Consider the following 23,745-nt stretch of genomic DNA (forward strand, 5'->3'; position numbering starts at 1 on the left):
TACCTTGTTAGAGCCTTAATTTCCTTACCTCCAAAATGGGTTTGGAAGATTCCTACTTTAAGAATCCGACATGAAAGCGCTTTCTATCACTCGCTGTCACTGTGGACAATGTCAGGGCAGAGGCCTCTGAGTCCAATTCAACAAACATGCACTGAGTCACCTCAGTGGGGCTTCAGGGAGGGCGGGAGGGGAGGGAAAGAACCAGCCTCTCCCCAACAGTTCACTTGGTCCTGCCTCCTCCATGCAGGTGGAGGGGAGAGCTGTAACTTCCCTTCCCTTGCTTTCACAAACTCTTCTTGGGATGATTGGACTCTCTGCCCTGCTGGAAGTTCTTCCCCAGCATCTCCCCTGAATCTCCCTTTCTGCAGTGGTTCCGAATGCATCCCACATGAACCGCCCCTCCAAGGCCTGGAGAGGGACCGTCCTCCTCCCACACCCCGTCCAGTGTCCACACACTCAATTGTTCATGCTCGGGCTGAGCCCAGGACCCTTGCTGCTCACCTTCCAGAGCCGCCTCCCCCGCCCCCACTGCAGATGTGGAGCTGACCACTGAGAAATGCACCATATTTGGAGGGCAAGGAGCTCTCTCCCCGTAGGGGCAACGCGTGTGGGTGCATGAAGGGTGAGAGCTGACACTATCTGATCTGGCAGGACTTATTATAGCACTGACTCTCTCTCCCCTGCACCCATTCTCCCTGGCTCTGTCGCCCCAATATCACCACTATCACCATACGCCCTTGGAAACTGCACCGCCTCCCTGAAGGTCAGTGTCTGGTTCTGAACCTCGGGGAAGAACAAGATAAATTGTCCTGAGCATCTGGATATCCCACATGCTTGTGCCAAAAGGGCCTGGGCCCCAGAGACAGGGTGAACCCACCCCAATCCCATAGCCCCATGGGACCAACGAACCTTGTCAAAATGATTAGCTTCCTTTCTCATCATCTGAGCCAAATATAGGGAAGGTGTAGGAAGGGGTATTTGATGACTGGGACTGGTGTAGAGCCAGGAAGGCCTTTGCTACAGAATTGGGGACTGGGCCTGGGGAGATGGGAAGAGGATCTGAACTGAGATCAAAGAGGCCTGTGGACCTATTACTTAGACCTACTACTTCTTTTGACTGCCAAGTCATTGACTGATTGTGACCAATTCATAGATGAGAGCAGTGAGTCAGTGGAGAGATCAAGTGACCTAAAGACAAGGGCATGGGGGCCCTATTTCAGCCAGTCCCTTGTCTCAGAGCCCAGCTTTGCCTTCATTCTGTCCTTTCCTGGAGGGTTAATAGGCTGCCAGGGATTAATGCGAAACAGCAAATGCCAAAGTGACAGTAGGGCAGGATGCAGGGTGAGGTATGTGTTCCTGAGGCTCTCCTCCAGCAGCAGCTCTAGGAGGAAGTGGGAGACAACTGGCCCAACAAACTTTTGAACAGAGCTATTTCTAGACTCTCCTCCTCTGTGCCTCTGCACAGAGATTTGGGGAGAGGAAAGGGGATAAGGGAAGATTGCCGGAACCATCTGGGAAAGTGGTGTTTGTTAGTTTGTCAAATGCCCAGAAGGAAAGGAAATCAGCCTCTTTCAGAACCTGCCCAGCTCCAAGGGCAGCCAGCTGAGGCTAGTCTCCACCAGCCAAAACAGCCCCAGAACCTGAGCCAAGAGAAGCCAGGAATTGTTGTGAGCCTAAGGCCCAAAAGAAACCAGACTGCACTAATCCACCAGGAGCAAGTGGGCCTGCTTCCCCCAGTGACTCAGGATAGGGACACTGAGAGTCTGGATGCTGCTCATCCAGGTCCCTTTCACCTTACACAAAGCCCCAGGCTTTGGAGATGGCTGTGGGAAGGGGAGGAAGGCCCGGACTGCCACCCTAGTGTCCACAGGGATGAGGACCTTTCTTAAGACATGGGTCAAGTCCTGACGCTACTCCTTATTTAACCTCTCCCAGCCTCTGTTTCCTTGTCTGTGACGTGCAGAAACTAATAGCATAGCTCTGCTCTCACCCAGTTGCCCCGAGGATTAAATGAGATGACACTTGAATAGACCAGCAGAGTGCCTAGCTGGAGGGAGTGCTCCACAAATGACAGATGCTGCTCCCTCTCAGTTTCCTCATCTGTAAAAACGGCCTAATGATAGCTCCTCTCGGGGTTACCATGAGGCTGAAATTACAGTGTGCATGAAAGGAACTCTGAGAACTGCTACAGAAATGTTAATTACCATCATCATGATTCCCTGACCTATAGTTACTGGCTCCCTTTCCTACAGGATATTAGGAAGGTGGGCTTCTCTCTTTTTATTGCTATGAAAAGAGACCATGTATCATTGAAGGCCTGCTCCGCCTTGCCTCGCCAGCCCCAGATGTGCAGTCAAGGCAGAATCATAAGTGAGAACAAGCAATTGTCCCAGCGCCTTCTCACTTGGCCTTTTCTGTCTCTGGGGACCCTATCTGAGCTACTCTGGAAGTGGTTCTCAAAGATCGATTTCCCAAGTAAGTAAAAAAACAGTTCAGGCCAGGCATGGGGGCTCACGCCTGTAATCCTAGCACTTTGGGAGGCCGAGGCGGGCGGATCACGAGGTCAGGAGATCGAGACCATCCTGGCTAACACGGTGAAGCCCCGTCTCTACTAAAAATACAAAAAAATTAGCCGGGCATGGTGGCGGGCGCCTGTAGTCCCAGCTACTCGGGAGGCTGAGGCAGGAGAATGGCGTGAACCCTGGAGGCAGAGCTTGCAGTGCGCCGAGATCGCACCACTGCACTCCAGCCTGGGCGACAGAATGAGACTCCATCTCAGAAAAAAAAAAAAAATTCAGGAAAACACTCTGCATTACTCTTCCACTATCCATCCCCTCTTTCTTCATTATTAAGACCCATTTTTTTTCTTCTAAGATGTCAATGTGGTCAGCTAAAAACCCTTGGTTACAGCTAAGACTAGCCAAATTACACAGTTAAGGCCAAAGATGTAAGTGGAAGTCTCTGGGGGAGGGCACTTCTATCATAATAAAAAGGCAAAGGCTCCTGTGGAAAAGGCATTTTGCACCTCATCCTTATTCTGTCTTCCAGCCTGGAACATGGACAGTGAGGCCTGGAGGTATAGCAGCCACAGTGTGATCACGAAACAACAAGCCATGAGGAAAACAGTAGATGTCCTATATATTAAAGGGCCAAAAAATGAAAAGACACTGGATCTCAGATGGCATCTCCGGAACCCTGAATCAAACCTGAACATCCTACTCCAGACTTCTTGTATAAGACAATTGAAGCCGCTAGCATTAGTCAGATTTTCTGTAACTTATAGTTGAAAAAAAAACCCTAACTAGTAGAGAATTTGATATCTTAAAGTGGAATCCTCAAGTAAAAGAATCTAAAATGTGGGGGCCAGGCGCGGTGGCTCATACCTGTCATCCCAGTACCTTGGGAGGCCGAGGTGGGTGGATCACAAGGTCAGGAGTTTGAGACCAGCCTGACCAACATGGTGAAACCCCATCTCTACTAAAAATACAAAAATTAGCCGGGCGTGGTGGCGGGTGCCTGTAATCCCAGCTACTCAGGAGGCTGAGGCACGAGAATCACTTGAACCCAGGAGGTGGAGGTTGCAGTGAGCCAAGATCGCGCCCCTGCACTCCAGCCTGGGCGACACAGTGAGACACTGTCTCAAAAAAAAAAAAAAAAGAATCTAAAATGTGAACTTGGCTAAGTAGAGGGAGGAAGGTAGTGAGATATGATGACCCAATATGTCAGGCTGGAAAGTCAGGACCTTTGTTGTGAAATGACAAAACATTTGGTCAGACCCTGGCATATCTGGGAACATGGACCAAAAAGAAACCTAGGTGTAGTAATAGAGGAAGTGGCAGAAAAAGTTTAGAAAGTTAGCATGAGCTTGTTCCTTGCATCTTTCATCAAAGACCTACAAGAGTAGGATGCTGCTATTACAAAAAAACTGAAACAGGTGTCATTGGCTTTGGGAGCAGGCAATGGGTGAAAGCTAGAAGGGTCTCTAGAAGATTATTAGTAATGATTTGAAGGACAGTGAGGAAATTGTTACTGGAGTCTAGAAAAGAGAGATCCTATTAGGTAATTCCAGGATGTCTGGCAACACTGTTGTCTGTAGTTACATGGAAAACAGAAAGGTACCTAATCAGTTTATGGATATGGGTAAGGAGATTTTTATGCAGAATACGAAAGTACCAATTGGCTTCTTCTGGCTGCCTATGATAAAATATGAGACTAGAAAGTTGAACTAGGCTGGGCGCGGTAGCTCATGTCTGTAATTCCAGCACTTTGGGAGGCCAAGGTGTGCAGACCACGAGGTCAGGAGATCGAGACCATCCTGGCCAACATGGTGAAACTCCGCCTCTACTGAAAATACAAAAAATTAGCTGAGCATTGTGGTGCATGCCTGTAGTCCTAGCTACTAGGAAGGCTGAGGCAGGAGAACCACTTGAACCCCAGAGGCAGCGGTTGCAGTGAGCCAAGATCGTGCCACTGCACTCCAGCCTGGCAACAGAGCGAGACTCCGTCTCAAAAAAAAAATGTTGAACTAAAGAAGGAACTACTCACCGGGGAGGCAGAGGTTGCAGTGGGCCAAGATCGTACCACTGCACAGCCTGGGCGACAGAGTGAGACTCCATTAAAAAAAAAAAAAAAAAAAAAAAACCAGAAGGAACGAACTATTCAGCTTCTTAAAGAATTATAGAGGGCCCAGCACAGTCTTTCCACCAGCAAATGACTCTCAAACTAATAAATGGCCGTGGGGCAAACACCAAATCCAGATCCCTAACAGTAAAAAGGAACTCAGGATAAAGATGAAGTAAGTCAAAGGTAAGACCTTGTAATGAGACCTCAAAAAGATTTAAGGGCAAGCTTCCTAGATCTTCTCAGATAAATAATACAACGTCTAATAATTCTAGAAGTGTACCTCTTAGGCTCTTTCAGACTAGAAGGCTTTTAGGAATCTCAAGGGCATTTACTCCCAGCACCCTGACTCTCAGTCCAAGCTGGAGAGAGACCAATCTTAAAAAGATTTGTAGGTATGGCTTTGTCTATTAAGTGAATTATAAATTGATGCACAGTGAGGCCACATTTTTACAGGAATTATATCATTTTGGACTAAAAGAGACCGAGATGGCTTAAAACCAAAAGAAGTTTTTGAGTCTTCAACTTCAAATGGGCAAGAACTAGGCTGAGAAAGCTACTTAGCTATCAACACAGTTACTTCTTTTGGAAAATAGAGAGTTAACTCAGAAAATGGAGTCAAGAACCTAGAGGCCAAGAGCCAAGAAGAACCACTTATAGAGAGCAGAACTGGGCCCTAGTCAAGAATCTGGTGACATATGTCTGACTCAATTTCGGAATTGCTATGGACCAATGCACCAATTTGTGCCTCCAGTACACCACCACACCCTTAAGAATAGGCGTGTTTGTGGCAGTTATCTTTTTAAAAAAAAAAAGAAAAAAAAAAAAAACAGAGTCTTACTCTGTCACCCAGGCTGGAGTGCAGTGGTATGATCTCAGCTCAGTGCAATCTCCACCTCCCAGGTTCAAGCGATGTTCCTGCCTCAGCCTCCCGAGTAGCTGGGATTACAGGCGCATGCCACCATACCAGGCTAATCTTTGTATTTTTAGCAGAGACGGGGTTTTGCCACTTTGGCCAGGCTGGTCTCAAATTCCTGAGCTCAAGTGATCTACCCACCTCAGCCTCCCAAAGTGCTGAGATTACAGGCGTGAGCCAACAAGCCTGGATGGCAGTTATGTATCTTTATCTCACCTGTGAACATCGACTATGTTCTTCACAGGACTTCAGGTCAAGAGGAACCACTTTTGAGGAGCCGTCCTGGAGGAACTGCACATGAGAAGCCTTGTTCATATCTCTGGGCCTGTCTCAGATAATAAGATCAGAGACATCAAATTGATGCCTTAAAGAGATGAGACTTTGTGGGTCTTGGGAAGGAGATTAATGTATTTTGCATATGGGAGGGATGTGAATTGCGGTTGCTAGAAGACAGACTATGGTATTTAGTCTCCAAAGATGGTCACTGTCAATTTTATGCACGCTGCTCTTTACATTAAAAGATGTCTAGCCAGGCGCGGTGGCTCACGCCTGTCATCCCAGCACTTTGGGAGGCCGAGGCAGGCAGATCACGAGGTCAGGGGTTGAAGACCAGCCTGACCAACATGGTGAAACCCTGTCTCTATTGAAAATACAAAAATTACCCGGGCGTGGTGGCGCATGCCTGTAATCCCAGCTACTCAGGCAAGAGAATCACTTGAACCCAGGAAGTGGAGGTTGCAGTAAGCCAAGATCACACCTCTGCACTCCAGCCTGGGCGACAGAGCAAGACTCCATCTCAAAAAAAAAAAAAGAGAGAGATGTCTAATTCTCCTCCTCCCCTTAATCTGAGCCAGACTTAATGATTTTTTTTTATCATTAGAATATAGCAGAAATGATGTCCTGGGATTTCTGAAATAAATCTTAAGAAATACCAGGCACAGTGTCTCATATCTGTATTCCCAGCACTTTGGGAGACCAAGGCAGGTGGGACCCTTGAGTCCAGGAATTTGAGACCAGCCTGGGCAACATGGTGAAACACTGTCTCTACAAAAAATGCAAAAATTAACCAGGTATGGTGGCGTGTACCTGTAGTCCCAGCCACTTGGGAGGCTGAGGCAGGAGAATTGCTTGACCCTGGGAGGTGGAGGCTGCAGTGAGCCATTATTGCACCACTGCACCCGGGCCTGGGTGACAGAATGAAACCCTGTCTCAAAAATAAATTAATTAATTTAATTAAAATTAAAATTAATAAATCTTAAGCCTACCAGCTTCCACGTAGGCCTCATGCAATGCTCACTTTGGGATTTGTCCTCTCAGGACCCTACTGCCATGCTCTAAGAAGCTCAAGCCACATCGAGAGGCCATGGTAAGCACTCCGGCTGGCAGTTCTAGCTGAGGTCCCAGCTCACATTCGATATCAGTTGCCACGCATGTTAAGCAAGCTACCGTAGAAGTTGAGTTTGTTCAAACATTCAGATTACTCTAGCTCCGATTTCCACCTACATGGAAGACCCCACGTGAGAACCATCAACTAAACCCAGTCTACCTGCAGAACCATAAGAGATAATAAATTTTTGCTCTCGGCCGGGCATGATGGCTCACATCTGTAATCCCAGCACTTTAGAACCCGAGGCGGGCAGATCACCTGAGGTTAGGAGTTCAAGACCAGCCTGACCAGCATGGAGAAACCCGTCTCTACTAAAAATACAAAATTAGCTGGGCGTAGTGGCACATGCCTGTAATCCCAGCTACTCAGGAGGCTGAGATAGGAGAATCACTTGAACCCGGGAGGCGGAAGTTGCAGTGAGCAGAGATTATGATGCCACTTCACTCCAGCCTGGGCAACAGAGCGAGACCCTGTCTCAAAAAAAAAAGAATGTACAATATAATATAGAATGTGTTGTATAGAATACAATACACTTGTTTTCTGAAAACAGGTGTACTGCCTGTCTTGGTCCATTTTGTATTGCTACAACAGAATACCACAGACTGGTATTCAAAACAAAACAGATATTTATTGGCTCACCATTCTGGAGGCCAGGAAGTCTAAGCTGGAGGGGGTAACACCTGGAGAAGGCCTTCTTGCTGCATCATCTCCTGGTGGAAGAGCAAAGAGAGGGAGAGAAATAAAAGGTGGGGGGACAAATTCATCCTTCTATAAGGAACCCGCTCCTGTGATAACAGCACGAATCCATTCATTACAGCAGAGCCCTCATGGCCTAATCACCTGTTAATTACTATTGCTTTGGAGATAAAGTTTCCAACACATGAACTTTGGGGAACACATTCAAACCACAGCACTGCCTATGGCCTGTATTCTTTTTTTTTTTTTTTTTTTTTTTTTTTTGAGACACAGTCTTGCTCTGTTGCCCAGGCTGGAGTCCAGTGGCCCAATCTCAGCTCACTATAACCTCCATCTCCCAGGTTCAAGCAATTCTCCAGCGTCAGCCTCCCGAGTAGCTGGGAATACAGGCATGTACCACCACACCCAGCTAAATTTTTTGTATTTTTTGGTAGAGACGGGGTTTCACCATGTTGACCAGGCTGGTCTCGAACTCCTGGCCTCAAGGGATCTGCCTGCCTTGGCCTCCCAACGTGCTGGAATTACAGGTGTGAGCCACCGTGCTCGGTCTAACAAGGAATCTTTTAAATAAAGCTTTGCGGGGTCGATTAGACTAATTCATATCTCTTGAGTAGATCCTGGTACAACTCATTACTTGCAGTATTGAATGTTAAGGTCTGTCCTTTATTCTGAAATTATACCTTTCCTCCTTTATTGGAATTGAAATTTTATCTTTTTATGAAATGATAGTGATGGTGGATGGTATTTGCCTTTTTTAATATCTTTATTTGACAAAATAAAAGTCAGCAACCTATCTCGATTTCCAATTTTTTGCTGGTGTTTGAAATTCCAAAATTGAGACCTAAAGCATAGCTCTGGCCTTGGAGAGATTTCCAGGAGAGTCAGAGCCCAGAAGGGAGCAGGATCCAGGAGGCCCTCATCTCCCAGCACTCCAGCTGAGCCAGCCGGGTTATGGAACATCACTGAGCAATTAAAATATTATCAACAGACAAAAAAAGTTTATTGAATACAAAACTCAAAGGCATCAACAGTCCTGGGCCCAAGAGATCCATGGCAGGAAGTCAAGAGTTCTGCTTCAGGGTCGGTCTGGGCAGCCCTGGAAGAAGTCATTGCACATGACAGTGATGAGTGCCAGGAAAACAGCATACTCCTGGAAGTCCACCTGCTGGTCACTGTTCTCATCCAGGCTGCCCATCAGCTTCTTCAGCCCCTCCTCATCCACTTTCTCCTGAAAGTGACAGGAAATACACTCATCACCAAGCCAGCCCCAACCCCAGCTCCACCAAACACCCAGACCCTCACACATTCAGGTTGGTTCCCAGCTCTCCCTCCCCACTGGGCAGCTGGGTATAAGGTGGGCAGGAGGCCCTGGGAGCTACCAAGAGGGCCCAGTGAGTAAGGAGAGAGACAGATACTCATTGGTGAGCATCTCCAGTGTGCCCTCCTCCTGGACACAGGGAGGACACTGGATGCTCCTCTGAGCATGCATCAGCTCGAATCCCACAGGAGCCCAGCGAGGTAGGTATCATCACCCCATTCTGCTGATGAGGAAACCGAAGGTTGCTGCTCCCCAACACCAGCCAGGTAGATTCAGAAAAGAACACTTTTTATTTTTTAAGACAAGGTCTTGCTCTGTTGCCCAGGCTGGAGTGCAGTGGCACAATCACAACTCACTGCAGCCTCAACCTCCTGGGCTCCAGCAATCCTCCCACCTCAGCCTCCCAAGTAGCTGGGACCACAGGCTCATGCCACCACACCCAGCTAATTGTTTATTTTTAGTAGAGACAAGGCCTCGCTATGTTGCCTAGGCTGGTCTTGGCAACCAGAGTGATCTCACTTTGTCACCCAGGCTGTATTATAGCTCACTGTAACCTTGAACTCCTGGGCTCAAGCAATCCACCCAAGTAGCTGGGACTACAAGCGTATGCCACCATGCCTGGCCAATTTTTATTTTTATTTTTGTAGAGATGGAGTCTTGCTATGTTGCCCAGGCTGGTCGAACTCCTGGGCTTAAGAGATCCTCCTGCCTTAGCCTCCCACACTGTGGGGATTACAGGCATAGGCCACTGCACCCAGCTGAAAAACACTTTTTTAATACTAGCCGAAATAATTAGAAAAATTTAACCAGCCACAAAAACAAAATTAAAAAAAGGAAAGAAGGACCTGCCTCATGTGTTCAAAGCCTGACACCTAACTTTGGGAATCACCAATGAGTCAGTATAGGGAGGGTGAGGGACAAATTGAAGGTCGATGCATTTCTCCACAAAATGTCCCAGACTATATATCTTAGCTGGGCTTTTCTATCCCTACATACTTTCTTAGTTTGGCATATAAAAATGGAAAGAGGTCAAGCACAGTGCCTCACATCTGTAATTCCAATACTTTGGGAGGCCGAGGTGGGAGGATTGCTTGAACCCAGGAGTTCAAGCCCAGCCTGGACAACATAGCAAGACTCCATCTCTACAAAAATAAAAATTGGCCAGGCATGGTGACAATACTCCTGTAGTTCCAACTACTTGGGAGGATTGCTTGAGCCCAGGAGTTCGAGATTACAGTGAGCTATGATCCAGCCTGGGTGACAGAGTGAGATCTTGTCCCCCCACCACAAAAAAAAAAAAAAAAAAAGGAGTCCGGGCACGGTGGCTCACGCCTGTAAGCCCAGCACTTTCAGAGGCCGAGGAGGGCAGATCACCTGAGGTCAGGAGTTCGAGACCAGCCTGACCAATATGATGAAACCCCGTCTCTACTAAAAATACAAAAATCACTTTGGGAAGCCGAGGCAGGTAGATCACGAGGTCAGGAGTTCGAGACCAGCCTGGCCAATATGGTGAAACCCTGTCTCTACTAAAAATACAAAAATTAGCTGGGCGTAGTGGGATGCGCCTGTAGTCCCAGCTACTCAGGAGGCTGAGACAGGAGAATTGCTTGACCCCTGGAGGCAGAGGTTGCAGTGAGCCGAGATCGTGCCATTGCACTCCAGCCTGGGCAACAAGAGGGAAACTCCATCTCAAAAAAAAAAAAAAGAAAAGAAAAGAGAGAGAGAGAACGTGCCAGTGCTGTGTGATCTTGGGACAATCACTTTTCCCTTCTGGGCTCTGGTTTCTCAAGTCTCCAATGACAGGATTAAACAGATGGACTCGGAAGGCCCTCACAGCACATGGTTCTCTGGAATGCTGCAGGAAACAGCCATTAATTAAGCACTCCCACTCGGGCCTCATTTCCACTCCAGTGGAGCCATGAAGCTAAAGTGGGGAGGGGGCTGGGCCCCACCCTGGCACCTGCATCGACAGGCACCCGGAACTGGGGGAGAGATTTAACCTGCACCCCCACACTCACACCAGGACCTCCCCCACAGGCCTGTGCCACTCACCCCCACAAAGCTGGGCAGCTCCTTGTGCAGAAGTTCCTTCATTTCCCCCTTACTCAGCTTGAACTTGTCGCCCTCTTGGCAGGAGTACTTGTGGAAGGTAGTGACCAGCACAGCCAGCGCCTGCTCCAGAGAACTGCACATCATGGATCTGTGGCTGCAGAGGTGCCAGGTGATGGGTACACTGCTGAGGCTCTTGGGGCCTTAGCTCAGCCTGTAGGATCCACTTCTGCCCTATGCCCCCAAGCCACCTCACAAAACCCCTCTCTGAATGGGAAGGCAGGGGCTGCATCTCCCCCTCAGACTGTGGTTCCCTGAGGCCGGAGGCGATACCTCCATCTCACCCTGAGGGCAGACGCTAAAGCTTCCCTTGTGTCTGGGAGTCACCAAGCCTCCTCTGATGGCACTTGGGACACCCCCCTGAGGGCAGGGCTCCCCATTTTAGTGTCTGCCAGAAGGGAAATGACAGGGTGACCAGAGTCCCATTTTGATGGCATCTGCGCAGGCTCTGGGGAGCAGGGCCACATGCACCGGCTGGCAGATGGGGGCTCCTGTGCAGTCTGGCAGGAGCCATGGCTACAGCCTAGGAGCAGGAAGCTCCCTGAAGGAGTCGTTTCCCTCCTTAGACTCGGGACTCCTGAAGCCAGAGGCATCTCTCTCTGCCATCTAACTGGAAGCTCCCTTGGGCAGGAGTGTTTCCTCTCTCAGACTAGGAGCTCCCAGAGGGTGGGGAATGTGTCTCCCCTCACCCTGAAGGCCCCTGAGCCTCTAGGCAGACAGGGGCATGGATAGGGTGGGGGCAACTTAACATTCTCTCCACCAGGAAGGATCCTGTTGGAATTAGAATTAAAGATATGAAATGTTCATTGCCTTGGGATCAGGATGGGACAGACCTCAGCGGCAAGGCCTCTGAGAATACTCAGACCAGCCTGGAAAGGTTAGGCAGGTTTCAGGGTGAGGCCAGAGGAGCTATGCCAGAGGCAGGGCATGCCCTGGGCCCATCATGCCAGCCCTGCCTTCACCGAGGCAGGGGGCAGAGCTTTGCTGCTTGGGGCCATGACCCAGGCAGAGTCTTGAGACCCCTGCCTCTTGCACCTTAGTCCTGCTAGAATCCAGGACTTTGCAAAAAAAAAAAAAAATCTCAGGATTCTTTTTGCAGCAACGCCCACATGCACACCTCCTGCTCCTAGGCCTAGACCCCCAAAGAAGGGCCCCTAGACTGAGATATCCAGGGGAGGGCCTCAGAGCAACCCCTGCACTGAGACCTCACAGAGGAACCTGGAGAAAAACCCTTCAGTCGGCCGGGCGCGGTGGCTTACTCCTGTAATCCCAGCACTTTGGGAGGCCGAGATGGGTGGATCACGAGATCAGGAGATCGAGACCATCCTGGCTAACATGGTGAAACCCCATCTCTACTAAAAATACAAAAAAATTAGCCGGGCATGGTGGTGGGCGCCTGCAGTCCCAGCTACTCGGGAGGCTGAGGCAGGAGAATGGCGTGAACCTGGGAGGGGGAGTTTGCAGTGAGCTGAGATCACACCACTGTACTCCAGCCTGGGCGACAGAGCGAGACTCCATCTCAAAAAAAAAAAAAAAAAAAAAAAACCCTTCAGTCAACACTTCAGCACTTCACAGAGAGTTCTTCCAAGGGGGAAGGCCCAGAGAGGCCCAGGTTGATCCCACCAGGGAAGCTGGAATGAGAGAACTGTGGAGACAAAGACAGAGACCCACGGGGATCCTCCCCACCCTGCCCTCAGCAGGACAGAGGTACTCACCAGACCAGGTGGCAGAGACAGACCCAGGAAGGAGAGCAAGGCAGCCAGGCTCCCAGGGTGAGGATTTATATGTGGGCCCCACTGGCCCCCAACTTGGCATTTTAAGGAAACCAAACCTGCCTCAACCTGATCCCACCAAACCCTGGCCTCTTGCCATTCCCACTCATTCCCTCCCAGCCCCCTCCCTCCCAGAGAGTGCCAGCTCCACCACCAGCTGGGGGAGGGCTCTAGGCCAGGTCAAGGGCAGCCCCTGAGCCCACCCAGGCCACAGTGGGAAGTGGGAGGTGTCGTGGGGACTGGGCATCCTGGACCGGGGTGAGGGGAGGCAACCCCTGCTCTGGGGCCTGGAGACTGGTGCCAGGCCTCATTCTCATGACATGCCTGTGAGTCACAGCCCACTCCTGTGTGAGAGGCTGTGAGCACACGCTGAGACTTCATGGTCCAGTGCTCGTGTACATACATGCGCCCGTGTGTGTGAGAGAGAAGCAACCTGGGGCCACCCTTAGGAAGCTGGGGGCCAGAGGAGGCAGCTGGGGGACATCAGGAGGAGAAGGACAGGACTGACTTCAGGGCATGGATGAAGTGGAGTGACTTTTAATGGCCAGCACCAGAATACCTCTTAATGAGGTAATGAGGTAACTAAGTGTGCTTAGAAATACCTGGGAAGGTCCCTCTGTGTAGGAAGGTGTCTGGAAGGATGGGGAAGCAGTGAGAAATGGGGTTGCTCTACACACAGCCGCAGTTGGGCTGGGCCACAGTCTGTGGGGAGCATAAGGAAGTCCCGAGTAGTTAAAGGCTGAACAGGAAAACTTTGGCCTCCTCTTCTCCAGCTTGAGGGCTGGGTGGGTGGGTAGGGGTACATCCCTACCCAAGGCTGAAAACACCAGCTGGACAGCTTCCCAAGCCAGAATCCAGGCCTGAAGCACAGCCCTCAGCCACAGCCCTCTCTCACTGCCCCCCACACACATGTCCTCCCCAGACCCGGAGAAAGGCAAACACTGTGGCCATTCAGAGCCCAGCCCAAGGGAGGGCTGCCCCCTCCCAGGGCCCCTTCCTCCTTGGCCCTTTGTCTATCCCGGCCCGTCTGGGCATCAGGGCACCGCCCTTCCTGTGGCCCCAGCTCCCCTCCCTGCTCCAGCTGTCGAGTAGCTTCTTCCCCTCCCCCAGCCCCTCTACCTCAGCCCTAAGTGACTCACCCGAGGTTCCAGGCCCAGATGCCCAGGCAGTGACTCAGCGGCACACCCTCCTCCCCCAGGGCCAGGGCAGCAGCAGTCCCAGAGCAGTAGGTGGAAGCCCCAGCCCAGCCTGGCAGGGAAAGCACTGGCACAGAGACCCCAAACAGGCCCTGCCAGGAGGAGCTTTGGATAATGACATGGCAGGAGGATCAGACTGAGAACAGGCTGGTCCCTTCCTAGCGGTCACCGTGTGACTTGGGGGCCAGCCTGAGCAGTGTACATGAAGTCAGGCCTTGGGGCCCCCAGTGTCCTCTTCTACACCTTGGCACAGCCACCGAGTGTCCCTTGCTCCCCTCAGTACTTGAACCCCTCATGCTACTTGTCTTCCCATCGAGGCCTACTTCAAGTAGAACTCGGAATAAAAACCCTTCACACTGAGGGTGAGGGACAAGGGAGCGCAATGCATCGATTTTCACAGCCATTCTTTCCTTTTAACTAAGGGCCTCCACAGGGCCTTCCCTGCTCAGAAACTGCAGTGCATCCCCATGGCTGTCCCTTAAAGCCAGGCGGTATGTTCTCACTCATAAGTGGGAGTTGAACAATGAGAACATATGGACACAGGGAAGGGAACACCACATACCAGGGCCTGTGGGCAGTTGCGGGGAGAAGGATGGGGGCAAGGGGAGGGAGAGCATTAGGACTAATACCTGATGCATGCGGGGCTTAAAACCTAGATGATGGGTTGATAGGTGCAGCAAACCACCATGGCACATGTATACCTATGTAACAAACCACATTCTGCACATGTATGCCAGAACTTAAAGTAAAAATAAAATAAAATTAAATTAAAATTAAAAATTTTTAAAAAGCCTGGCAGTGAGGCGCTCCAGACTCGGCCTGCTGCTGCGTGTCCCTTAAACACACCGGCACATGCAACTAGTGTGGCCAAGACCCTCGGCTTGCGCTGACCCCTCTGTTCAGAACGTGCCCACACATGCCCATGCCCTCTATCCTGCTGAAATCCAACCCCCCCTTCAAAGGCCACTGCAGGGAGCCTTCCCAGGGCCCAACCGGATTCAGTGTCTACCTGTTCTGTCCTGTACAAAGCGCCCCTTTTGCCCTTTTCGTGTGTACTTAGAGAATTCTGATTTTGACTGAATCACCTGTGTACTTGTTTTCTCTCAGCCTCACCCCCACATGGTGAGCTCACCGGTCTTACTCATTTCTGCATGAGGTAAGGGTCTCGCCCACACCAGGTGCCAACCAGTGCTTACGGCTACCACATGGCAACAGGGGTCACTGGAGGAGTGCTTAGGAGCAAGGGAGTCCTTCTCACCCCGTGAAATCACACCACTGACTATGCTACGAAATAATCACCTCTCCTCTGGATCCCAAGAGTGGAACCGAGACAACGGGTCGGAAAAGAGCTTCAGAGAGCTACAAATCCCTGAGGAGTGACAGCAGGAAACTGCGGCTCCCAGGACCCAGTGAGGGAGTTGAGCAAACCCCCCAGCGGGCAGAGACGGAGACAGGCAGGCAGACGAAGAAGACAAAGAGTCAGTCAGATGGAAAAGCCAGGGAGAAAAACAGAGACAGCAGCAGAGCCGCGGGTCACTAGGGTCAGCTCCTGAAGGCCTGTCCTTAATCAGGTGTCTCTGTCTCAGGAACTGAGGCTGCGACTGCGCCCATCAAATGGCCATATACCTGAGACTGGTGATAATCGTATTCATTTGCCACTAACTTGCTGCGTAACCTTGGGCAACTCCCTCCCCCACGGCAGGGCAGGAGAGTTGTACGGAATGGCCCCTAGAGTCCGATCCCAATCCCACTCTCACATTCTCCAGCTGTCTACAAAGGCAGAGTAGTCAAGACACAAGCAGGCCCTGCGGACATCCAAAGCAGTGACTCTGCCCCGGCCCAGCCTCAGGAAGCTGGGTCCTCACATTCCGTCCACCCCATCTCCGGGCTCCAGGTGCCAGAAATTTTCCACCAGCGGCCCCGCGGGATTTTGCCCAGCTGCTTCGTGCCCTCTGGTGGCTAAGGCGTGTCATTGCAGTGCCGGCCTCCTGTCATCCTCCCTTTCTTGTCCGCCAGACCCTCTGGCGCCCTGCTTACGACTCAAACAGGAGACAGTGCTGATTCATTTCCAAGCGGCCTTCCTACACCCACACCTGCTTCACATAGATGAGGTTTCCCGGACAGTCCCTGCCCAGAAGCCCAGGTGGATGTCTGAGACGGCAGCCAGATACCTGGAAGCCATTTTAAAAGCCTAGGGATATGGGTACTCGGGAGATAGGAGGCGGAAAGACCACTTGAGCCTAGGAGTTTGAGGCTGCAGTGAGCCATGATCGTGCCACTGCACTCCAGCCTGGACGACAGAGCAAGACCCTGTCTCAATCAATCAATCAATGCAAGCCTAGAGATAAGGGCAGGAGAAAACCAGGGGACAGAAGTGAGGGATTGGCCACTGCCAAGTTCTGCCCACCCACCCCCTTTCCCCAGGCCGTTCAGGGGAAAGAGAAATGGCCTCATTGTGGGGGCCACAGGTTTAGTTTAAGTCCTGACATTGCCTCTGGCTTACTGTGTGACTGTCGACCTTGGTTGAGTGGTGCCACGAACCTGAGCTTAAACGTTTTCAGCAGAAGGACCCCCTTTATTATGCCCCGCCCCACAAAATAAGTTCTGAGGTATTCTGTCTTAGCAAAATGCATTAAATAATTTATTTCCCCTGTTGTACTAATTGGATCCATAAGTGTCTCCCGGCAGCATGACCAGCATGCGAGGACCCACGTTATCACATTGGGTTCAGGTCATCCTGGATTTGTCACTCACAATGGGCGTGTGCATATCCTTTGCTGGGGGGTGCAGACTGAAATTTTGAAGCACTCGCTGTGCGTCAGGTGCTCTCCGTACATTACCCCATTTAATTCACACAACAATCCCAGGAGTTGGAATAAGATGACCCCACTTCACAGAGGAGAACACTGAGACTCAAAGTCTGCCAAATTCACACAATTAGTAAGGGGTGGGGAGGCATGACGAACACAGGTGGTCACAACGTTAAACCTTTCCTAGAAGCTCCAATTATTCCCCGATAACCCTGAGAGCCCTAACATTTCATTTCCATTCAGACCAGCCTCAGTCTCTCTGCCCATCCTCTCTCCACCCCACACTCAGCCTATCTGTCTCATTTCTCAACCTCAGCAGGCGCCAGAAGCCCATCTTCTCCCCATCTCTGATTCTGGCATCTTTTCCTCTTGCCTTCAAATGCCCTGTGGACTGGATTCTTTTTAATTTTTGTTTACTTACTTATTTGAGACATAGACTCACTGTCGCCAAGGCTGGAGTACAGTGGCACCATCACAGCTCACTGCAGCCTCATGTGATCCTCCCACATTAACCTCCTCAGTAACTGGGGCTATAGGTGTGCGCCACTGTGCGCATCTTTTTGCATCTTTTGTGGTGATGGAGTTTTGCCATCTTGCCCAGACGGGTCTTGAACTCTTGAGCTCAAGCAATCCTCCTGCCTCGGCCTCCCAAAGTGCTGGGATACCAACGTGAGCCACCATGCCCAGCCTAGCCCGGATTAAATATAAATATAAAAGAGACTGGGCATGGTGGCTCACACCTGTAATCCCAGCATTTTGGGAGGCTGAGGCAGGCAGATCACCTGAAGCCAAGAGTTCAAGACCAGCCTGCCTAACATGGCAAAACCCCATCTCTACTAAAAATACAAAAATTAGTTGCGTGTGGTGGCGTGCACCTGTAATCCCACCTACTCAGGAGGCTGAAGCACGAGAATCGCTTGAACCCGGGAGGTGGAGGTTGCAGTGAGCTGAGTGACAGAGTGAGACCCTGTCTCAAAAAAATAATAATACAATCAAATAAGCTTAAAAGAACCATTTCTCATTGTCCCACCTCCTCTTGGCTTCCCCTTTGCCACACATAACAACACCATCCACCCAATCACCCAAACCAGAAATGTGGCTGTCCTCCTGTCCTCTAGCCTCCTGCTTCCCCCGCTCTGCCCTCCAGATGTTGGCCAGTCAACCTATTGTTTCCACCTTCTAAATACCACCCAGCTTTGTCCACACTGCCTTAGGTCCCTCAGCATCATCTTGCTCCTGGACTACTGCAAACACATCCCAACTCCCCTCCCACCTCCATCCTCGCCCCCCAACTCTAACCCCTTCTCAGCTCTCCCACCAGAATAACCTTTCTAAAATTCAAATCTGAGCATGTCAGCCCAGATTCAAATGCTTAGTGAACCCCCATAACTTTCAGAAGAGATGGCATGCCTTTGCTGGCACAGCAACTACACTGATGTGCATGCCGCGCCCTTCTGTGCTTCCAAGCACCTGCCTATGCCTCACATTCTCTTGAAAAGCCTTTCCTCAGGAGGTCCACCTGTCAATCCTAATCACCCTTTAAACTCAGCTCAAAGGTCATTGCCTCCATGCAGCATCCCGGTATCTACTTCCCAGCCTCGCACCTGCTAGAGCAGAAGAATATGCACACACACATGCACACACACAGCTAGTGTTCCTCCTGCAGCCCCTTGCCCATCGCTCTATCCCTTTTTTTCTTTTTTCTTTTTTTTTTTTTTTTTTTTTTTTTTTGAGACAGAGTCTTGCTCTGTCACCCAGGCTGGAGTGCAGTGTCGTGATCTCGGCTCACTGCAACCTCCGCCTCCCGGGTTCAAGTGATTCTCCTGCCTCAGCCTCCCGAGTAGCTAGGATTACAGGCAGGCACCACCACGCCCAGCTAATTTTGTATTTTTAGTAGAGGTGGGGTTTCTCCATGTTGGTCAGGCTGGTCTCGAACTCCCGAACCTCAGGTGATCCGCCCACCTCGGCCTCCCAAAGTCCTGGGATTACAGGCGTGAGCCACCACACCCAGCCCCCATTATTTCTTATGTTTAATTGTGACTATATATGTGTCCCTCCCACTAGACTGGGCTCCTAAGAAACAGGCACTGAGTATTGTCAATGCTCCATATCCCCAGTGCCTGACACAGAGGCACAAGTGCTGTCCGTCGTAACCACCATCCTCTCTCCTCCCTTCAACACCACTTTTCCAGATATGCTCTAAATCCTCCACCTCCACCCCCAGAACCTCCTGAAAACTGACTTGCTACCATTCTACGGAACCAGCTTTCTCCTACGTCACCAGAAACTCTTCTTGCCAATGCCAGTGTTTTGGGGAGGAAGCAATCTAACACCCTACTCTCAAAAGAGTTCTTCAGCAGGGAGGAGCCACCCACTTCTCTCTCCACCACTCTCTCCTTCTCCCAAAGGAAGAGGTGCGACTGAGGGATAGGCTCTGAGCAGGCTCAGCTCTGCCCCTTCTCACTGCAGCTTCCTCTTCCCAGTCAGTCTGCCCCCCGGAAAGACGTGCCCTGCATCCTGTGCTCCCCACCTGCACTGATGACCCCACCGCCGCAAGGGTCGGCAGCTGGGCAGTTGCTATCTAGAATGAGCTACAAGGAAGGTCCGTTCAAGAAGCAGCAGGAGAGGAATAGAAAGATCTTTCTGGCCTCAGCTCCAAATTACATTCGCTGGTCCACAGCTAAGACTTGGAGCCCTGCTTGAGTACTTTTTCCCAGAACTCAAAAGAAAGAAGGATGTGGCCGGGCATTGTGGCTCACACCTGTAATCCCAGCATTTTGGGAGGCCAAGGTAGGTGGATCACCTGAGGTTGGGAGTTCGAGACCAGCCTGACCAATATGGAGAAACCCCATCTCTATTAAAAATACAAAATTAGCCAGGTGTGGTGGCGCATGCCTGTAATCCCAGCACTAGAAAGCTGAAGCAGGAGAATTGCTTGAGGCCAAGTGTGAGACCAGCCTGGTCAACAGAGTGAGCTAAACAAAATAATAATGATAATAATGTCAGTGTATCATAGTTCCTGAGTTCTCACGCCTGACACCTGGCTCGAGAACACAGGATATTTCCACCCTGGCCTGCCAGCTCCTCATGGTTTCCCACAGCTAGAGGCCGCTGCTGTCCTGGCAAGGGCATAGGCCTGGGTATAAGGCAGGCTTGAGTCTGAAGCCAGGCTCCACTATTTGCCAGCATAGAGGACCAAGAAGGAACAATGTCACTTGGTAAAACTGAAACTGGTGCTAACAGGGATCAACATAAATCAGGGTGATTCACAGTCTTCCCAGAAACACCCAACTTGAGAGATGCATTCTGTGTTCTGATAAATCCAAGTTACTTTCTAAATCTTAGAAAGGGACTAAGGGCAGCTTCAGAAAAAGAAAAGTGACTCAGGAGAGTGGGTGGTGATTTGTAATATTATAGTGTGTTGCTCATGAGGAAGTGGTTTAAAGAAAGACATTTTTGGAGATCAATATGTAATACTAGGAAATGGTTATTGCAAAGGAATTAAGACTTTGGATTCTGGATTTGAATCTTGACTCCACCATATTCTAATTCTGTCAATCAAGATCTTTCAGCTAAAAGAGACAGAAGTTTAATTCAAGCTCACCAAAGTAAAAATGTGGTGTATTGTGTTACATCGCATTAAGGTCACTGTGATAATTCACAGGATCAATAAACCACAGCCATGGGGACCAGAATGAGGAACTCAACACCATCCATCCATCCATTCTTCTCTCATGCTGTTTGTGTCTTTTTGCATGTGGGCATCACCCTTAGTATAGCATAGCAGAGCCTCTCCAAATAATGAGGAATGTGGCCACAGACTGCTCCAGCTTTGTAAACCCATTATCTATATATTAATCCAGAGAAGAGCGCTGATTGGCCCTGCTTGTCTCATATACTTAGCCATGGGCCAATTTCTGTTGCCAGGGAGACGGAGTGCTATGATTTGCCAGTGTGGTCAAGGGTCTCTTACTAAAAATAGGAAGCAAGTTACCACAGTTACTACACTCACCATGTAACCTTACAAACGTTACTTAACCTTTTCCTGAGCATCAGTTTCCTCTTCTGTAACATGGGAATACTATTGCCCACTTCACCTATCAAATGAGATAACACATTTGTATGTATGTAAAGTATAGGGAGGACTCAGTGAGTGTTATTACATGTATCAATAGAAGAAGAAACTGTGGGCCGGGCGTGGTGGCTCACGCCTGTAATCCCAGCACTTTGGGAGGCCGAGGCGGGTGGATCACAAGGTCAGGAGTTTGAGACTAGTCTGGCCAACATGGTGAAACCCCAACTCTACTAAAAATACAAAAATTAGCCGGCATGGTAGCACACGCCTGTAATCCCAGCTACTCAGGAGGCTGAGGCAGAAGAATCACTTGAACCCAGGAGACGGAGGTTGCAGTGAGCAGAGATCATGCCACTGCACTCCAGCCTGGATGACAGAGCAAGACTCTGTCTCGGAAAAAAAAAAAAAAGAAAAGAAAAGAAAAAGAAACTAACATATACTTAGAGCCAGTGTCATGGCCAAGATGGGGCCATCTGATGTATCAGCAACATAGAACCATGACCAAACCCCACATCCACTAAAATACAGGGATCATGATCTACTCCTGGTTTTCCTGTCAATATTTATTTATCCTTTGAGCCCACTTTTTGTCATCTGAAAGTATCAGGTGTTAGTTTAAGAAAAATAGTAAAGAAAACCTTAAAATTGAGAATAATCTGTTAATTTGCTACATTATTTCTCCTAGTTTGGAAATGCCCATATTTTTCTCATTATAATTGGTAAAACATCTAAGTCTAGCTTCAAAAGTAATGGACTTTGATGACAGCTTGCTTGATCCAGTTCAATGCTTCCCCCCATTTCAAAATAAGAAACTGGCTCTCCCCCTCCCCCTCCCCCTCCCTCTCCCTCTCCCCTTTCCACAGTCTCCCTCTGATGCCCAGCCGAAGCTGGACTGTACTGCCGCCATCTCTGCTCACTGCAACCTCCCTGCCTGATTCTCCTGCCTCAACCTGCCCAGTGCCTGCGATTGCAGGCGCGCGCCGCCACGCCTGACTGGTTTTCGTATTTTTTTGGTGGAGACGGGGTTTCGCTGTGTTGGCCGGGCTGGTCTCCAGCTCCTAACCAGAAGTGATCTGCCAGCCTCGGCCTCCCAAGGTGCTGGGATTGCAGATGGAGTCTCATTCACTCAGTGCTCAATGTTGCCCAGGCTGGAGTGCAGTGGCATGATCTCGGCTCGCTACAACCTCCACCTCCCAGCCGCCTGCCTTGGCCTCCCAAAGTGCCGAGATTGCAGCCTCTGCCCGGCCGCCACCCTGTCTGGGAAGTGAGGAGCGTCTCTGCCTGGCTGCTCATCATCTGGGACGTGAGGAGCCCCTCTGCCTGGCTGCCCAGTCTGGGAAGTGAGGAGCGCCTCTTCCCGGCCGCCATCCCGTCTAGGAAGTGAGGAGCGTCTCTGCCCGGCCGCCCATCATCTGAGATGTGGGGAGCGCCACTGCCCCACCGCCCCGTTTGGGATGTGAGGAGCACCTCTGCCCGGCCGCGACCCCGTCTGGGAGGTGAGGAGCGTCTCTGCCCGGCCACCCTATCTGAGAAGTGAGGAGCCCCTCCGCCCAGCAGCCGCCCCGTCTGAGAAGTGAGGAGCCCCTCCACCCGGCAGCCGCCCCGTCTGGGAAGTGAGGAGCGTCTCCGCCCGGCAGCCGTCCCGTCCAGGAGGTGAGGGGGCAGCCCCCGCCCGTCAAGCCGCCCCGTCTGGGAGGGAGGTGGGGGGTCAGCCCCCGGCCGGCCAGCCGTCCCGTCCGGGAGGTGGGGGGCGCCTCTGCCCGGCCGCCCCTTCTGGGAAGTGAGGAGTCCCTCTCCCCGGCCGCCACCCCGTCTGGGAGGTGTTCCCAACAGCTCATTGAGAACGGGCCATGATGACGATGACGGTTTTGTCGAATAGAAAAGGGGGAAATGTGGGGAAAAGATAGAGAAATCAGATTGTTGCTGTGTCTGTGTAGAAAGAAGTAGACATAGGAGACTCCATTTTGTTCTGTACTAAGAAAAATTCTTCTGCCTTGGGATGCTGTTGATCTATGACCTTACACCCCAACCCGGTGCTCTCTGAAACATGTGCTGTGTCAGCTCAGGATTAAATGGATTAAGGGCGGCGCAAGATGTGCTTTGTTAAACAGATGCTTGAAGGCAGCATGCTCGTTAAGAGTCATCACCACTCCCTAATCTCAAGTACCGAGGGACACAAACACTGCGGAAGGCCGCAGGGTCCTCTGCCTAGGAAAACCAGAGACCTTTGTTCACTTGTTTATCTGCTGACCTTCCCTCCACTATTGTCCTATGACCCTGCCAAATCCCCCTCTGCGAGAAACACCCAAGAATGATCAATAAAAAATAAAAAAATAAATAAAAATTAAAAAAAACGAAAAACAAAATAAGAAACTGGCTCCCTACAGGATGATAGACACACACATCATCAACCAGGCTTACTCAAGCAATCCTTTAAGCTCATCCACCTTCAGGCTCTCCATTCACCAACTAGCCTCTGGTTTGCATTTGGATTCTCAAAGGGACTTTACTTCTGGGAAGAAATTGAGCTAATTCCTGGAATGTTTGTGTTTATGTTGTGGTCATAAAGATGCACAATAATTAGTCTCTCAGAACAAAAGCATCCCTCAGTGAAGTGATAAAGAATGACCTTCTGAACCTGCCCAGCTTCTGGCTAGATAAACACCTGTTCCTAAGAACGAAAGAAGAGGCCAGGAGCAGAGGTGCACACCTGTAATCTTAGCACTTTGGGAGGTCGAAGCAGGAGGATTGCTTGAAGCTAGGAATTCCAGACCAGCCTGGACAACATAGCGAGAGCCCATCTCTATGTATAAAAATGAAAATTAAAATTTTGTAAACTATATCTA

The 23,745-nt window shown here is 50.3% G+C and overlaps 1 protein-coding gene across 4 annotated transcripts, besides 10 other annotated features; it reads right to left on the reverse strand.

Annotated features, from left to right (window-relative positions):
• On the reverse strand, positions 8,364 to 13,100 carry S100A2 (S100 calcium binding protein A2). Of its 4 annotated transcripts, XM_047427373.1 has the most exons (4): positions 12,762 to 13,100; positions 10,990 to 11,143; positions 10,671 to 10,792; positions 8,364 to 8,847 (listed from the first exon to the last, which is right to left on the reverse strand). In XM_047427373.1, exons 2-4 carry the CDS (start codon positions 11,131 to 11,133, stop codon positions 8,823 to 8,825), a joined length of 291 nt encoding a protein of 96 aa, XP_047283329.1. In that variant the 5' UTR covers positions 11,134 to 11,143; positions 12,762 to 13,100; the 3' UTR covers positions 8,364 to 8,822. The 4 variants fall into 4 exon arrangements, with proteins under 4 accessions (XP_047283329.1, NP_001353336.1, NP_005969.2 ...); NM_001366407.1 differs by lacking the exon at positions 10,671 to 10,792 and having other exon boundaries at positions 10,990 to 11,109; NM_005978.4 differs by lacking the exon at positions 10,671 to 10,792.
• Positions 11,457 to 12,214: an enhancer, noted in NCBI's record as "H3K27ac-H3K4me1 hESC enhancer chr1:153536677-153537434 (GRCh37/hg19 assembly coordinates)". NCBI's record gives its function as "activates a minimal SCP1, AML or CMV promoter by ChIP-STARR-seq in naive H9 embryonic stem cells {active_cell/tissue: H9 hESC(naive)}" and the evidence as "EXISTENCE:reporter gene assay evidence [ECO:0000049][PMID:30033119]".
• Positions 12,215 to 12,972: an enhancer, noted in NCBI's record as "H3K27ac-H3K4me1 hESC enhancer chr1:153537435-153538192 (GRCh37/hg19 assembly coordinates)". NCBI's record gives its function as "activates a minimal SCP1, AML or CMV promoter by ChIP-STARR-seq in naive and primed H9 embryonic stem cells {active_cell/tissue: H9 hESC(naive and primed)}" and the evidence as "EXISTENCE:reporter gene assay evidence [ECO:0000049][PMID:30033119]".
• Positions 13,092 to 13,151: an enhancer, noted in NCBI's record as "active region_1747". NCBI's record gives its function as "activates an Ori minimal core promoter by ATAC-STARR-seq in GM12878 lymphoblastoid cells {active_cell/tissue: GM12878}" and the evidence as "EXISTENCE:reporter gene assay evidence [ECO:0000049][PMID:35858748]".
• Positions 13,092 to 14,324: a biological region, named in NCBI's record as "P300/CBP strongly-dependent group 1 enhancer GRCh37_chr1:153538345-153539544".
• Positions 13,125 to 14,324: an enhancer, noted in NCBI's record as "P300/CBP strongly-dependent group 1 enhancer chr1:153538345-153539544 (GRCh37/hg19 assembly coordinates)". NCBI's record gives its function as "activates an origin of replication core promoter dependent on BRD2, BRD4, P300/CBP, MED14 and CDK7 cofactors, with strong dependence on P300/CBP, by STARR-seq in HCT116 cells {active_cell/tissue: HCT116}" and the evidence as "EXISTENCE:reporter gene assay evidence [ECO:0000049][PMID:35650434]".
• Positions 14,022 to 14,261: an enhancer, noted in NCBI's record as "active region_1748". NCBI's record gives its function as "activates an Ori minimal core promoter by ATAC-STARR-seq in GM12878 lymphoblastoid cells {active_cell/tissue: GM12878}" and the evidence as "EXISTENCE:reporter gene assay evidence [ECO:0000049][PMID:35858748]".
• Positions 14,488 to 15,244: an enhancer, noted in NCBI's record as "H3K27ac-H3K4me1 hESC enhancer chr1:153539708-153540464 (GRCh37/hg19 assembly coordinates)". NCBI's record gives its function as "activates a minimal SCP1, AML or CMV promoter by ChIP-STARR-seq in naive H9 embryonic stem cells {active_cell/tissue: H9 hESC(naive)}" and the evidence as "EXISTENCE:reporter gene assay evidence [ECO:0000049][PMID:30033119]".
• Positions 20,040 to 20,129: an enhancer, noted in NCBI's record as "active region_1749". NCBI's record gives its function as "activates an Ori minimal core promoter by ATAC-STARR-seq in GM12878 lymphoblastoid cells {active_cell/tissue: GM12878}" and the evidence as "EXISTENCE:reporter gene assay evidence [ECO:0000049][PMID:35858748]".
• Positions 21,744 to 22,524: an enhancer, noted in NCBI's record as "H3K27ac-H3K4me1 hESC enhancer chr1:153546964-153547744 (GRCh37/hg19 assembly coordinates)". NCBI's record gives its function as "activates a minimal SCP1, AML or CMV promoter by ChIP-STARR-seq in naive H9 embryonic stem cells {active_cell/tissue: H9 hESC(naive)}" and the evidence as "EXISTENCE:reporter gene assay evidence [ECO:0000049][PMID:30033119]".
• Positions 22,525 to 23,305: an enhancer, noted in NCBI's record as "NANOG-H3K27ac-H3K4me1 hESC enhancer chr1:153547745-153548525 (GRCh37/hg19 assembly coordinates)". NCBI's record gives its function as "activates a minimal SCP1, AML or CMV promoter by ChIP-STARR-seq in naive H9 embryonic stem cells {active_cell/tissue: H9 hESC(naive)}" and the evidence as "EXISTENCE:reporter gene assay evidence [ECO:0000049][PMID:30033119]".

This window comes from Homo sapiens, chromosome 1 (genome assembly GCF_000001405.40).
Source record: "Homo sapiens chromosome 1, GRCh38.p14 Primary Assembly".
NCBI classification, from domain to species: domain Eukaryota; kingdom Metazoa; phylum Chordata; class Mammalia; order Primates; family Hominidae; genus Homo; species Homo sapiens.